Here is a 16,443-nt window from a genome sequence, read left to right as displayed (position 1 = left end):
GTGTATTGGTGTCCCAGTTTCCACAAGGGCTGAAGCTGAATAAAATGTCTAACTCCAGCCCTCTTCTTGGTCAGCTCAGTAAATTCAAACCATGGCAACTATGTCGGGGAGAACATTTGGTATGTTTTGTGATAGGGGATTCTTAGGGAGGGGAGCAGCTGAGGAAGAGAAACAAAATGGCAGCCTATTGGACATCTTCCCACGTGTAGTAGGGGAGTAAAGACAGTAACACACTCTAAAGGCTTTCTTTTCCTTCCTAGAGGCATGTGAGATTAGAAAAGTTCCCAGCTAAGCATATGCAGTTGAAACAGACTTCTTCAGGCCTGGCGCGGTGGCTCACGCCTGTAATCCTAGCACTTTGGGAGGCCGAGGCAGGTGGATTGCCTGCGCTCAGGAGTCTGACACCAGCCTGGGCAACATGGTGAAACCCCGTCTCTACTAAAAATACAAACATTAGTCAGGTGTGATGGCACGCACTTATAATCCCAGCTACTAGGGAAGCTGAGACGGGAGAATCGCTTGAACCTGGGAGGCGGAGGTTGCAGTGAGCGGAGATCGTGCCATTGTACTCCAGCCTGGGTGACAGAGTGAGACTCCGACTCAAAAAAAAGGAAAAAAAAAAAAAAAGAGACAGACTTCTTCAAGGGGCATATGTGGTTGGAGGGGAAGTCAAACTGGGAGTTAGCAATGACACAGAAGAGAAGTGAGAGCCAGGGCTGCAGCTCATATGTGGCAGGGCTGGGATTTAAACAAGTTTTCTCTGCCACCAGAGCTTCTGCTCTTAACATTTTTAGTGGTGTTTTTCTTAAATGTTGGTACCAGGACAAGATACGTCCACATTACAGGGTGCTTTTAAAATGCATATTCCTGGGCTGCAGTTACTGAATCAAATACCTGGGGCTGAGGTCCAAGAATCCACATTTTTAATGAACCTCCATTCTTTCAGAAGGTGGCAGGGACTGACACTTGTAAATGACTTCCCTGTTGCTACTTGAAGCACATCTTCACAACTCCAAATTAATGAGAACTGCTGGAGACAAATATAATTGAGAATGAATTACTCTATGAATCCATTTTTATTTTTAATGTGTTCCCAGGGGCATCTTTCTCCAGCTATGATAAAATGTAATGGAATCAGCTGTCAGTTACAAGTCAAATATGTCCATGAAGTATGTTTACAACCTAATGTGCTCACCTGTCTAAAAGGGAGGATGGAGTACTGGGGAAGATGGCGGGGGTGGGAGGGCAGGTTGGGCAGAGCACGGAGCTACATGCACTAGACCTGAACAAATGCTTTGCAGAGATTCCTGTTCTTTCAGCGGGTACCTGTGCAAAATTGCAAGATAACTCCAACAAGGCAGCTTTTGAATCAAGCCCTGTTCAGGTTTTGACTTTTTAGCTGTTTGTTATGAGGTTAAAGAGATGAGGAAGAAATTAGCATGGAGAACACAGGTAGAAACTGGGAGAGGAGCCACAGGGAGAGTCAGCTGTATAAGAATAATAAATTTTTCTTGAGCACTTGCTATGTACGAGGCACTTTATGTATATTAATTCTTGGAACACCTCCATAAAATACAGTCAGCCTTCCGTATCTGTAGGTTCTGTGTCCACAGATTCAACCAACCATAACTCAAAAATATTTTTAAAAATCCAACAAGAATACAACAACTATTTACATACCATTTACATTGCATTAGGTATTATAAGTAATCTAGAGATGGTTTAAAATATACAAGAAGATGTGCTAGGTTATATGCAAACACTACATCATTTTGTATAAGGGATTTGAGTATGCACAGGTTTTGCTATCTGCAGGGGTCCTGGAACCAATCCCCTGTGAATACCGAGGGACAAGTGTATTATTATTACTCTGATTTTACAGATGAGGTGAATGAGGCACAGAGAAATTAAGTAACTTGCGTAAACTCACACAGCTTTCAGGTGGCAGGGCTGGAATTTGAATTCAGGTCTAGTTCTGCAGTCTGACTACAGAACCCATTGTTTTAAGCCACCATGTTGTGCTGCAACTCTCAATCTAATGCCTAGCAAATTCCTAGTGCCTTGCTAGAGATATTGTTGCCAAGAGGTAATCATCCCAGGACACATGTCTCTAGAAGGACAGAGCCTCTAAGGGTTGTTGATGATCTCTTTGATCGGGGAAAAAGGGCATTGCTAGTTACTAGCTATGTGACCTTGGGTAAATCATTTTCCCTTTCTGTGTTTCAACATTCACATCTGTAACAAGGAGAGATTAGCGTAGGTTATGTCCAAAAACGTTTTCCTTTCTATTTTTTTTTTATGGTGTCAGATGTCTGGGATGATTTCCCAGCCCTGACATGGAAGTCCCTTCAGAAGGGACTTTCCCCTTGGGCAGTGTGGGCAAAGGAAGCTGTCTGTTATATAGACTGTGCATACTCTGAAACAGATGCATTTATCGAGTACCTATTATCTACCATGTGCCAAGGACACAGAATTGAAGATAAGTATGTCTCCTGCCTTCAAGGAATACACACTCTAGTGAGGGAGGCAGATGATAAACTTTTGTAAAGAATATATATTACAGGCTATTTTAGTCACAGGAGTAAGCACTGGGTGCTATGGGAACAGAAAGAAGGAGCGTGTAATTTAGCCTGGGGGTTGGGGATAGCGAGGGAAGACTTCCTGGAGAAGGAAATCCTTGACCTGGGCTCCTCAGTATGGTAAGATCTGAGGGGCAGGGGTCTGAAGAAGATGGAAGGTTCCCTCTACTGTGCCAAGAAAGGCACTTGGCCAGCTCTAGTTTCCGCTTGAGAAGGCAGAGTTCGTGCCAGTCCCAGGGATCTGAATGTGAAGGTTAGAAAATAGAGCTGGTGTTCTTTTATAAACTTGTGTTCTTTTCTTCCTAGTCTGTGTGGGAAAACTCAGTCTTTATTAAATTTTCCCTCAAAGGGTATATACTGGCAGCAGGAAAAGGCTTAGGTTTCATTTCTACTTTTGTCCTTAACCCAATGTGCGTACTCTGGACGACCTCTTCATATCCTAGGATTTCAGTTTATCTGTGGAAAAAACAGGGGGTGTTGTTGTATTGCCACTGGATGAATTCCAGGGCCTAGAAAGGTCTTTGAGTGACCAGTTTCACTTCCTGTGATACCACGAGACAGATAAGAATGCTTTCTAATTTTAAGCATTCCACTGAAGAGAATTTCTAACCTTAATTGGTCATTGTTTTAGTTTCTAAAACCATTCTCACTGTCAGTAAATTCTCCCTATTTTCTTATTTAAATCCTTCTTGCTATTTCTTAAGGTCCTTCTCTTCTTCTGCGGCCTCAATGAGTACTGAGAAAAGCTAGTTGCCGTGGGGCAGCCAAGCTTGGAGGCTACTTTGAGATCTTCCTAAAGGATTCATCTGAAGGCAATATGAGTTTCTTAGAGTATATATGGACTCTTCCTCAGTGAGGAAAGAGAAGTGAAGATGAAGCTGGCAGTCCCTAGAGCAGCCCGCTTTTCACTGTCCAGTTGAGCCCCAGAGCTCTGGAACCTATAAATATGCTATTCATTCACCATTGATCAAGCAGCTGCTTTGTGATGGTTCTGTGCTATGTCTTACTTTCTGTGTCCACATTCATGACAAGTGTCCCTCCCATGTTCATTAGTGTGGCACCCAAGTATGGCGTGATTGTAATTAGGCTCTTTTGGTTGCAAGTAGCAGAAACTCACTTGAGTTGCCTCAGTGAAAAGGGAATTTATTATAACATAAGGAAAGTAGATTTGGAAAGCCATCAGGAAGGCCTGGCTTCTCTTTTTTCTAGCAGTTTCACTGACAGTATGGAGTTTTTCTCATGGTATGTCTGTTTCATGTCACTATTCTCCTCTATTCTCTCCCTCTACCAATCAGTTTGCTCAGCTTATCCAGAATTGATACTCACTCATAACTTTGAATTGAACTTGGCTTTAGCTTGACACAGACTTGATTCTACCTTCTGGTGTTGTGGGGTTGTTTTCAACTTCTGCATTATCTGTTAACTAGCTCAGCATCTTTATGATTTTTTCCCCTCCATTTTTAAACAGACTAGTCAAGTGCAGTAGTGAGAACGGGGAAAGAGTAGAACAATAAGTTCAATCCATAACTGACTGTGAACAATCAATTGAGACAACTCACTACCTTCAGACCAGTCATCTTTATGCTTCTCAATTAAAAATTCCAGAAACAAGAAACTAGCCCAGGTCACCTCTTCATGCCAGGCTACAATGTCACCCATCACTGACCAGCCAATGAATTTGTCTTAGTTGTCAGATGCCAATGCTTGATACAATCCTCTGTGGCCAGAGGCAGGGTAAGAGCCGTAGGATATAAAATGTGAAAACGTACGCAGCAAGAAAAAGTTGTGAGCAACATAGTTGCCCTTAGAAGGCAGTGTTGGCAAGCAGACCCAGATTTGTATCTCTGGTTGGAAGAATAAGATTATCACTAAGGTACAACAAAATTTCCCTGTAATGACTAAAAAACCTAAATAAAAGGGCCTTCATCCTTTTATTTAGCGTAAGGCGTCATGGTGTAAGGCATATGGAAACCAAAGAGGGGAGGACTGCTTGGTATAAAGCTGGAATGATTTATCGGGGGAGGAGTGTGGTTCCCTGCTCATCGGTCCAGCAGCTGACTCCAAGTTACAGGAATCATTACATATTTTCAGCTGGTAGGGACCTGCCTGATGTTTAGAAACAGCTGGATTTTGGGAAAGAGTAGTAACATTTACATTGTTATTCTCTGTGTATCAGACCAAGGCAAAAGAGGTTGGAAAAGCCAACCCAGCCTTGTAAGTCATTGACAAAAGTATTTTGGCTGTAAAAAGTATATTGGCCTGTCTCATTTTTCAACATTTTTTAAATTTATGAGTTGTCCCCTCTGCTACCTATTACACTCCACTACCTGTGGCATGGCCAAAAATAAAATCCTGTTGAGTTGGTACTCTCATAGAAATTTAGGGTAAAGGGGGAAGTGTAAGCTCAGTTGAGGAGGCAGAATTTGAGCTGAACTAATCCAAAGGGAATGTTGGGGTGACAGAAGACGTTATATTTTTTCTGTCTGTGTGTATGCTTTCTTTCTAGGGCTGCTGATAAGCTCAGGCTGTGCCTTATACCCTTTAGGATGGAATAGCCCGGAGATAATGCAAACATGTGGGAATGTCTCCAATCAATTTCAGTTAGGTAAGGTGGCCTGGGCAGATGGCAGTGATGGTTCATGGGAAATGTGTTTTCCAAAGTGCTTTACCACTTGGAGGGCACTCTGCTAGTGGTACTTGCCTGAATCTCTCTCACTGTGTTAGCTTATGGGAAGTGGTAGCTTAACTCACAAGAGTTGGCTGTAAATTCCCCTTCTTTAACTATCTCTCCATACAATTTATGCAGTTTTGCCCGGGGACCTATGACCAGTTTAGGGCAACCCTATCTTCAGAGGGATTTAAAATGCTTGGAGACTAACAATCTGCCATCTTCTGAATAAATCCTAGTTCCTACTGGTGTTTCCTTCTAGGCACCATTTTTCAAATGTAAGTCAACAGTATCGTTTGTCAATCTCCACTGAAGATGTAACACGAGGTTATTTAGTTTACCTGAAGCATGAGGAACCTAGATAAATATTCAAAATTGTTTCTAACGGCAAGAGCTGTTAAATATTAGAGTAGGTGACAGAAGTAGCCCTGAACCATTCTCTGGTTGCCAGTTTTCACTGAGAATGTCTCAGGTTCACTATTGTGAGTTGATAATATATTAGATTCTAATTGGAAGACTTCAGAAATATTCCCCCACCTATCATGATGAAAGAGAGTAGGAGAGGGAATGTCTAGGTTTCCTTGGGTATTCTCAATTGTACAAAAGGATTTGGGAACAACAAGGCCATCCAACCACATATAGCTTGTGCTCCAATACTTCCCTTTCTCTCTGTTGCCTCAGATTGATTTTTGAGTCTTGCTTGACTCATTTTTGAGAAAGTTGTTCCCTGTGCAAACATAACATGAGGGAAGGTGTAACTAGTGTGGATGCTCAAATGTCCAGTGTTCTTCACTCAGGACAAGGCTGACTGGTAAACATAATATTTCTGCCATAGATAAAAGAATGAGTAAATACTTGGGGCAGGTGTTGAAGAAAGGGAAGCAAGCCACTAGTCCTGCTAGCTGGGGTAAAAGCTAAAGATTCAGCAAATTTTTCCTAGTTGGTTGTGGGACTGATTCTACTTTTTGAAAATGACAGTTTCGTTGATATATAATTCTTATATTATCAAATGTACCCATTTAATGCATATAATCACCGGGTTTTAGTATAATCACAACATTGTCTAACCATCACCACTATCCAATTCCAGAATTTTTTTTTTTTGAGATGGAGCCGCCCTCTGTCACCCAGGCTGGAGTGCAGTGGTGCGATCTCAGGTCATTACAACCTCTGCCTCCCAGGTTCAAGCGATTCTCCTGACTCAGCCTCTCAAGTGGCTGGGACTACAGGCTCGCGCCACTACGCCCAACTAATTTTTGTATTTTTAGTAGAGACAGGGTGTGGAGGAGGGGTTTCCGCCATGGTTCAAACTGCTGACCTCAGGTGATCCGCCTACCTTTGCCTCCCAAAGTGCTGGGATTACAGGGAGCCACCGCACCCTGCCCCAGAACATTTTCATCAGCCCAAAAAGAAACCTCTTACCCATTAGCAGTCAGTGACTATTTCCCTTTGCTCCCAGCTGCTGGTAACCACTGTCAATATGGATTTACCTATTTTGGATATTTTATGTAAATGGAATCATATAATATGTGTTTTTTTGTGTGTCTGGCTTTTTCACTGAGCGAGAAGTTTTCAAGATGTATACATGTAGTAGCATGTACCAGTACTTTATTTCTTTTCATGTCTGAATAATATTCCATGGTATAAATGTAACACATTTTATTTATCCATTTATCATTTGATGAATACTTGAATTGTTTCTACTTTTTGGCTATTATTATATAATATTTCTATAAATATTTGTGTACACATTTTTGTGTGGACATATTTTCATTTCTTTTGGGTATATATCTCAAAATTGCTGAGTCAAATATTAACTCTATGTTTAAACCTTTTGAGGAACTGCCAGGCTTTCCAGAATGACTGCATCATTTTACATTCCCACCAACAATGTACAATGGTTTCAATTTTCTCAACATCTTCCTCAATACTTATTTTCCACTTTTTGTTATAGCTGTCCTAGTGGGAGTAAAGTGCTATCTTATTGTGGTTTTGATTTTCATTTCCCTGATGACTGATGATTTCGAACATCTTTTTGTGTACTTATTGGCTGTTTTTACATCTCCTTTGGAGAAATGTGCATTGAAATCATTTGCTTGGTTTTTTTTTTTTCTTTTTTCTTTTTTTTTTTTGTTTTTTGAGATGGAGTAACACTTTGTCACTCAGGCTGGAGTGCAGTGGTGCGATCTCTGCTCACTGCAACCTCCGCCTCCCAGGTTCAAGTGATTCTCCTGCCTCAGCCTCCTGAGTAGCTGGGATTACAGGCACCTGCCACCACACCCTGCTAATTTTTGTATTTTTTAGGAGAGATGGGGTTTCACTATGTTGGCCAGGCATTCTTGAACTCCTGACCTCAAGTGATCTGCCTGCCTCGGCTTCCAAAGGACTGGGATTACAGGTGTGAGCCACTGCAACCAGCCATCCTTTGCTTATTTTTAATTGGGTTATTTGCTGTTGTTGTCCTCGTTGTTGTTGAGCTGTAAGATTGTTTTATGTGTTCTGGATACAAGACCCTTTTTGGATATATGATTTTTAAATATTTTCTCCCATTCTGTAGGTTGTCTTTTCACTTTCTTGATGACATTCTTTGAAGTACAAAAATAATTTTGATCAAATCTAATTTATCTATTTTCCTTTTTCTTTTTTTTTTTTTTGCTTCTGTTTTAGGTGTCATATTTAAGAATACATTGATAAATCCAACATCAAAAAGATTTACCCCTAGGTTTTCCTCTAAGAGTTTTATAATTTTAGCTCTTATAGTTAGGCCTTTGTTCTGTTTTGAGTTAATTTTGAAAGTGGTATGAGATATAGGTCCATATTCATTCTTTTGGATGTGAATATCCAGTTGTTGTAGCACCATTTCTTGAAAAGTCTATTATTTCCCCTCATTGAATGGTCTTGGTATCCTTGTTGAAAAGTCAATTGTCCATAAATGTAAGGGTTTATATCTGGATTCTTCGTTCTATTCCATTGATATATATGTGTATTCCTATGCCAGTACCACACTGTATTGATTATCATAGATTTGTAGCAAGTTCTGAAATCGGAAGTATGAGTTTTCCTTCTCTTTTAATACTGCTTTGGCTATTCTGATTCCTTTGCATTTCCATCGGAATTTTAGATTTAGCTTGTCAATTTCTACACAAAATCAAGCTGATATTTTGATAGGAATTGTATTGAATCTGTAGATTAGTTTGGGGAGTATTGCTACCTTAATAATATGAAGTTTTCCAATCCATGAACCTGAGATGACTTTCTATTTAGTTAGGTCACTTTGAATTCCTTTGAATGATGTTTTGTCATTTTCAGTGTAGAACATTTTCACTTATTTGGATAAATTTGTTCATAAGTATTTTATTGTTATTTTTTAATAAGTAAAGCAGGCCTATTAACACAGAATTGTTTTATGCTTTTATTTTATTTTAAGATTCCTTATTGTTATTATACAGAAATAAAGATGGTCCCCCAACATACTATGGTTTGACTTATGATTTTTCAACTTTGCAATGGTGCAAAAATGATACACATTTAGTAGAAACTGTACTTCTAATTTTGAATTTTGACCTCTTTTTAGGTTAGAGATTTGGAGTATGATACACTTTTGAGATGCTGGGCCACAGTAGTGAGCCACAGCTCTCAGTCAGGCACCAACAACCCATACTCTACAGCATACTGTGTTGCCCAGTGGTTTTGCTGAACTGTAACATTATAAGTGTTCTGAGCACCTTTAGGGTAGGCTAGGTGAAGCTATTCCATTCAGTGGATTAGGCATATTAAATACATTTTTGACTTACAATATTTTTAAGTTACAATGAGTTTGTTGGGATGTAACCCCACTGTAAATTGAGGAGTATATGTACAAATGATTTTTGCATGTTGGCCTTGTATCCTGCAACCTTGCTGAACTCCTTTATTAATTCTAATAACTTTTAAGTGTATTCCTTAAAATTTTCTAGATACAACAATCATGTTATCTGAGAATAGAGACAATTTTACTTCTTCCTTTCCAATCTGGATGTCTTTTGCTTGTTTTCCTTGCCTAATTGCCCTTGCAAGAACCTCCAGGACAATGTTGAATAGAACTTGTGAGAATGGAGATCCTTATCACTGGTGTTAGCGGTAAAATATCCAGTTTTTCATCATTAAGCATTGATGTTAGCTATGTTTTTTTTTTAATAGATGGAGGACCTTTATTAGGTTGAAGAAGTTCCCTTCTATTCTTAGTTTGCTGATTGTGTTCACAATGAAAGGGTGTTGGAGTTAATCAGATGCCTTTTCTTCATTTACTGAGATAATCATGTAATTTTTGTCTTTTATCCTTTCAATATGATGCATTTCATTGATTGATTTTCATATGTTAAACCAACCTTGCATTTCTTGGATAAATCACAGTTGGTCATGGTGTATAATTCATTCTATACCTTGCTGGATTTAGTTTTCTACGATTTTGTTAAGGGCTTTTGCATCTATATTTATTAGGGATATTGACCTGTATATTTCTTTTCTTGTGATGTGTTCATTGACTTTTGGTATTAAGGTAATATTGGCTTTACAGAATGAGTTCCTATGATTCTACTTTGATTAAGGTAAAATGCCAAAGTAAAAAGTTGGATATGTGATTTGCATGGAGATTACCAACTTTGTTTTTTGCCCTAATCACCACCTAAGGACCTAGTTCATAAATGAGTAGTTCTGGGCTGAGTGCAGTGGCTCATGCTTGTAATCCCAGCACTTTTGGAATCTGAGGTGGATGGATCACTTGAGCCCAGGAGTTCAAGACCAGCCTGGGAAACATGGTGAAACCCTCTCTTTACAAAAAATAAAAATAATTAGCTGGGCATGGTGATGTTCACCTATAGTCCCAGCTACTTGGGAAGGGAGATACACAGAGCCAAAAAAGAAAAGACATGGTCCCTACCAGAGGAATAAGCTTTTTACCCTGACATGGTTCAGAGAGATGAAGAAGGTAGGGAGGAGAATAGAGGCGGGCATTATCAATCCATCAGAGTAAGTAAAAAGGATTTACCACTCTGCTACTCTGATAGGCTTTCTGCAGCCTCCTATATGAAGAGATCACATTCATGTCTTCAACCTATCTTTTCTTAGGTTTTCATTCAAGTTATCCTAAACCATCCACACTATTTTTTAGTCCTAATTTGAATGATCAAAGATACAACTTATATTAAGGCACTGATCTTGATGTCTGCATTGGATTAAAGATAGCCACAAATTTCTTGATACTTTTCCCATAGAGAAGCTGGGTCTGTCTCCAATTCCTATTCCCCAAATCTTCACTGGTGTACAGCTGCTTTAAGTTAATCTAATTACATCTAATTGGATCATTAGACTTAATACTCTAATTAGCTTCATTATAGAAGATAAATAGAGTATGACAGAAGTGACATCAAGCTTATTCTAGGCCTGTGGTCTAAAGAACTTGCAGTTTCCTTCTTGGTCTCTTGGAGCTCTGAGTCATCATATAAAAAGTTTGACTATCTTGGAGAGACCACATGGGATTTCCAAGAGTTACTTAAAGACAGAAAAGTTCAGCTAGTACAGCCATTCCTGCCAAGGCACTAGACATGTGAGTGAAGTTGTTCTGAACCCTCCATACCGGTTAACTGAATATCACTGAATGACATCAGTTAATGCCATTTAAAGTAGAAGAATTGCCCACCTGAGCTCTGAACAATTGTGAAACCATGAGATATAATAAAATGGTTGTTTTAAGCTGCTGTGCTCTGAGGTAGTCTGTCATACAACAATGGATAACCAGAAAAATGCCAAACCATATTTCAGATCGTTATTTTAAATAAAAATAATTCATGTATGTGACAAAATAAAACAATACATATATAAAGGTTTAAAACTTAAAATCAGTCTTTTTTTCTGACCTCGATACCATTCCCCAAAATGACCATTAAGTTCCTTTTATATTCTCCAGAATTTTTAATAAATATAAATAATAAATATAAACATAAATATAAATATAATTTTTAATAAATATAAAATATTTTTTCCAATATTTGTTCCAATATCCAATGGGATCATATTATCTAGCTCTCTATCTATCTAGCTACACTGTTCTGCACCTTGCGTTTTTCGCTTATTCATATCTCTTGAAAACCTATCAATGTTTATAGATCTTCCTTCTATATTTTAGGTATGCCATATTTTTCCATTGCAGGGATAACATAATAACATGCTCTGTGAGGGCATAGATTTTTGTCTGTGTTGTTTATTGCTATCTCCCCAGTGCCTGCTTAAAGAGTACCAAATAGTACTGAATATTTGTTGAATGATTGAATCATATGATCATTAACCACTTCTTTATGCACATTTAGGTTGCTTCCAGTTTTTGGCTTTTCCAAAACATATTTCAGGGAACAACTTTATGTATATGTCTTAGCATACTAGTTTATCTGTAGGACAAATTCCTAGGAGTGGAATGATTGGGTTAATGGTTATTTTAAATTTTCAGAAGTCATTGATGAATTAAATGCTCTCCAAAGAGACTGTACTAAATTATTCTCCAACCCACAATGTGAGTTTGCCTGATGTCCCATAGCCTCCTCAGTTTTGTGGATTGTCAACATTTCAGTTTCTTCCACTCTGGTATCTTCTTTTAATCTGCATTTCAATAATTATGAAAAGGATTAAATAACATTTCATTTTTATTGCTCATTTCAAATAATATATTCAACTCTAGCAACTTTAAAAGGTAACAGTGTCTAATTTGCAATTACAATTCTTTAAAAATTCTTAACTTTTATCCATTTATTTTAAGTCTACTTTGATTTCAGACCCTGATGAGAATGTTCCTGAGATTTGCCTTGGTCTATTTTAACTTGGAGTCAAAGCCCTTTCTAGCAGCTCATCTCCAACTCCCAGGCAGGCTTGCCATCGAAGGACCTCATGCTGCTTCTCTTGGAGAGAACAGTTTTCAGCATATGCCATCTTCCTTCAGCAAGGAAAAGGAATAGAAAGGGAGGGAGCAGAGAATAGGAGACCCACTTTATCCTTTCCATTCACTTGTTCCTAACTCTTTCTTTTTTCTGTGCATGGGATTGAGGAGAATAAAAATGATGTTAACGATAATTAATATGTTTTTGAGCATTTACTATATCCCATACATTATTTTACTTAAACCTTGATGACAGTTAGAGAGGGAATAACTGAAGGAGCAAAATTCTTGAGAAGGTGGTTATTAAGTTACCCCAGGGCACAGAGCTTGTAATTGGCAGAACCAGGATTTAAACCCAGGCCTGGGAGTCTCCATTGCCCTAGCTTTCAACCATTACTTAGGTGCTGTGATCATTACGTAATAATAATTGCTATCATTTATTGAATGCTTGCATAGGCTTCATATTAATTACATTTTAGAATTATTATGCAATACTTCAAATATTTTTAAAGATATGAAGTAATACCATGAACATCCACGTACCTATTACCGATTAAGTAGCTACTTAAAGTTATGTAGCTTGCCTAAGTTCACTCACTCAGCTGGTAGAGTGGCAGAGGTGGGATTTGAATTCCAGGTTAGAAAATAAAACCTTACCAATATGTTTGAATCTTTCTATATCCTGCCCCAATTACATCTCTGTGCCTCCAGAAGTAACTACAATCTTGAATTTGGAGGTCTTAAAAATGTTGTATACACTTATTATGGTGATTGTGCTATGAACGTTAAATTCATTACCATACTGGTTTCTTAAAACTATTCTGTCAGGTTGATTTCATCTACTGACATTATCCTGAGAGGAAGAATAAGACTCTCATATACCTCAACTGATAGCACAAAGCCCTTGGTGCCAGCTTTAATGAGGCAGCTCCCTCCTTTATGATGCTTGGCATATTTAGCTATGTGTGGCATATTTTATACAGAATCATAGAATGTCCAAACAAAATAGATCTTAGCTATCATTTGGGTTTGGCTGGTTCTTTATTATCATTTATCTTCAATGTCACCACCTCAAAGTCCCCCATCATCATACTTTTCTATCACACATCTTTTTGGTGTCTTTTGTAGCACTAATCACAATATATAATTATTAGATTTGCTTATTTGATTACCTGTGTTCCTTATTAGAATGTAAGCTTCATGTTGGCCCAGACCTTGTGTGTCCTTTTTCACATTCAACAGAGGCTTATTGAGCAAATAAATCTAATCCAACCTCCTCAAGGTAAAGACAAGAAACCTGAGGCCTGGAAAAGGACTTGCCAAGATCACACACCGTAGGCTTTCTGACTCGCAGGCAGGCACTGTGCTAGGAGGGAAGGAACTTCGGTGGTTATAAAAATGGTAGATGTTCTGATGGTGTCTAATTAGTGTTGATAAATGATATGAAGGAAGAGACAGGGTTTGGTGAGAGAATTCTAGAGGGGCATCTGACTTAAATTAGAGGATTATTAGAGAAGGCCTCTCTAAGAAGGTAAGATTTAAGAAGAAACCTGAAGGGTGGGTAGGCTTAACCAAGTGAACTACATGAAGAAGAGAGTTCCACACAAAGAAGTAGAATGCTATAAAGGCTCTAATGTGCGAAAGCACATGTTGTATTTGGGTACTACTCTAAGGCCAGTTTTGCTGAATCAGAAGAGTGAGTAATGGGAAGAGTAATAGATGATCTCAGAGACGTAGGCATTAGTCAGAATATAAGGACTTTGTATTTTATCCTAACTGCAATGAGAAACCATTGCAGGGTTTGAGGAAGAAAAGAGATAAGATATGATTTCTATTCTAGGAAGTTTCCTCTGGCAGTGTTGTAGAGAATGGCTATGGGGATGGTGACGAGAGTGGAAGCAGGAGGCCAGTCAGGAGGCTGAGCCATAGTCTAGGCAAAGACATGAGGGTTGCAAAGGTGACAGTGGAGCTGGGGAAAGTAGGCTGTTTCAAAATATATTTTAAAGTGTAATCAATTGTACAGGTGATAGATTTGATATGGGTATGGAAGAGATGTCCAAAAATGGGGAAGACTAGAGGAGAAGCAACTGTGGCTGGGATTGAGAAAAGAGAAGGAAACTCAGTTTTAGATAGGTTTTGGAGATACCTGTGTGAGAAATCCAAGTGGAGATGTCAAGCAAGCAGTCTGGAGCTCAGTGAGGTCTCTGACCTTGAGTTTAGAAATTGGGAGTTCTTAGTACATAGATGATGTTTAAAGTAATGGGAAAGAGGATTGTAATACTAACAGTGGTTATCACCTACTGACTATGACCTATGTGCCAGGCAATGTTCCAAGTGTTTTATATGTATCATCTCATTTAATTTTCACAGCAACCAAGTGAAATAGGTGCTGTCATTATCTTCATCTTATCATGAGGATGAGAAGTTCACAGAAAGGTAAAGAGACTTATCCAAGATGAATTTAGCTAGGGAGAAAGAGTTGAGTGAGAAGAGAAGAGAGCCCAGTCTAAGTAATGGGAAATTCTTCATGTATAAAGATTGGGCAATCATAGCGAACTCCTATATGGCACTCACTATACATACAAGAGCTCATTACATCTTTGCCACAATCTATAAAGAAGATATTATTAGCCTCATTTACAGAAAGGGAAATTGAGGTTAAGAGAGATTAAGTAACTTGCCTAAGGTCATTCAGCTGTGGAGTGGCAGATAGAAGTCTGATCTAAGCAACACCATCTAACAGAAGTTTTTGCAATGATGGAAATGTTCTGTGTGTTGCTGTCTCATGTGTTCCTAGTCACATGTTGTTGAACAATTAAAATATGGCTAATGGGACTGAGGAACTGAATTGTTACTTTTAATTTTATTAAATAAATATCTAATTTTATTAATTAATCTGATGTAATTTTATTAAGTGTAATAGGCACAATGCGACTAGTGGCTACCATATTGGACAGCACGACTTGAGAGAGTCTGTGCTGTTAGTTGCTTCTCTGTACAGAAACTTACTAAGGAGACTCAGAGGGGTAGCCAGAGAAACATAAAAAAGAAAATCAGGAATGTGGGGGTCACAGCAGCCAAGAGAAAAATGTATGTCAAAAAAGAAGGTGTAACCAACTATGTTTAATGCTGCTGCATTAAACTCGATGAGGACAGAGAAGTGACCATTGCAGTCAGTCAGACAAAGGTGACCTAGAAGAGAAGTTTTGGAGTTACAGATACTGGTAGTATTGTAAGATGAGGAAAATGAAGGCAATGTGTGTAGATAGTTCTTTCAAGCAATTTTGCTAAGAAGGAGAGCAGAGAAAGTGAGCAGCAGCTGGAGGAGAATGCGGGATGAAGAAAGGCCTTTTCTAAGATGACCAAATGCTTGGATGCTGATGGGAATGATCCTGTAGTGGAGAGAGAATGATGCAAAAAAGCAAAGTCTCTGAGAAACCGAGGGTGCAATGAGGAGGAATTTTTTTTTCTACTGTATTATAAAGAAATCTAAGTAAGAACCCTGAACAGATATTTCAAGTGATTTCTTAATACACTAATTGCAACTTTGATGAGATTTTCAAAATCCTCTTAAATCCACACACCACTAGAAAATTCTTTCATACCCAATGGCATATAGACAGGGGACACCCAAATAGGTCCCACTAAAAACTTAGAGAAGCTATATACTTTTTTTTTTTTCACAAAAAACTAGATGTTTATTTGTTCCACACATGAAAAAAGGGATGTGAGAAGTCATGTCCAGCAACATAAAAGGCCTCCCTGATTACTCTGCACAATGAGAATAAAAGGATTCATGAATATACATATTATGACAAAATTTCAGAACATTAAACAGAACACCTTAAAAACTTGTAGAGAAGAAAAAAGTTATAAAAGACAAAATACATATAAATAACAAAATCATTCTGGCATAATATATTTTATCAAAGCCAATGGATGCTAGATGAAAAAGGTACAATGCTTTTAAAATTTTATACCCAGAAAAACTGTCATTCAAGTAAAATAAAATAATGAAGATTTTCAACATGGAAGGCCACATAACATTTATCTCTCGTGTATTTTTCATAGGGGAATATTGGAAGATATATTACAGTCAAAGGAGAGAATAAATCCCAAAAGAGGAAGGCAAGTAATCCAGGAAACCATAAAGTGTGCAAATCTTTGAAGAATAGCATGAATGAAGCCTCTGTAACACATTAGAAGGCAATTGTTCACAATTGGAGGAGGCTTATGGCCTTCAGTGAAAAGGTTGCTAAGGAAAAGGGAGTCTTGAAGAAGGAGAAATTCTA

General features: G+C 38.4%; 1 protein-coding gene across 6 annotated transcripts in view; it reads left to right on the top strand.

The window, feature by feature from the left end:
* The window catches only part of LHFPL1 (LHFPL tetraspan subfamily member 1), a 49,291-nt gene that overhangs the window by 14,128 nt on the left and 18,720 nt on the right, over positions 1-16,443 (top strand). For 3 of the 6 annotated variants that reach the window (NM_178175.4, XM_011530943.3, XM_017029485.2), the window contains exon 3: positions 5,086-5,184. The exons of 2 other annotated variants lie outside the window; for them this stretch is intronic. In NM_178175.4, the coding sequence (NP_835469.1) occupies positions 5,086-5,184 (99 nt within the window). Of the gene's footprint in view, positions 1-5,085; positions 5,185-12,050; positions 12,346-16,443 lie in introns of those variants that run through there. One more of the 6 variants, XM_024452370.2, reaches the window with a different exon arrangement.

Source organism: Homo sapiens, chromosome X (genome assembly GCF_000001405.40).
Source record: "Homo sapiens chromosome X, GRCh38.p14 Primary Assembly".
NCBI lineage: Eukaryota > Metazoa > Chordata > Mammalia > Primates > Hominidae > Homo > Homo sapiens.
Note: the sequence above shows the minus strand (reverse complement) of the source record. Positions and strands in the feature narration are given on the sequence as shown.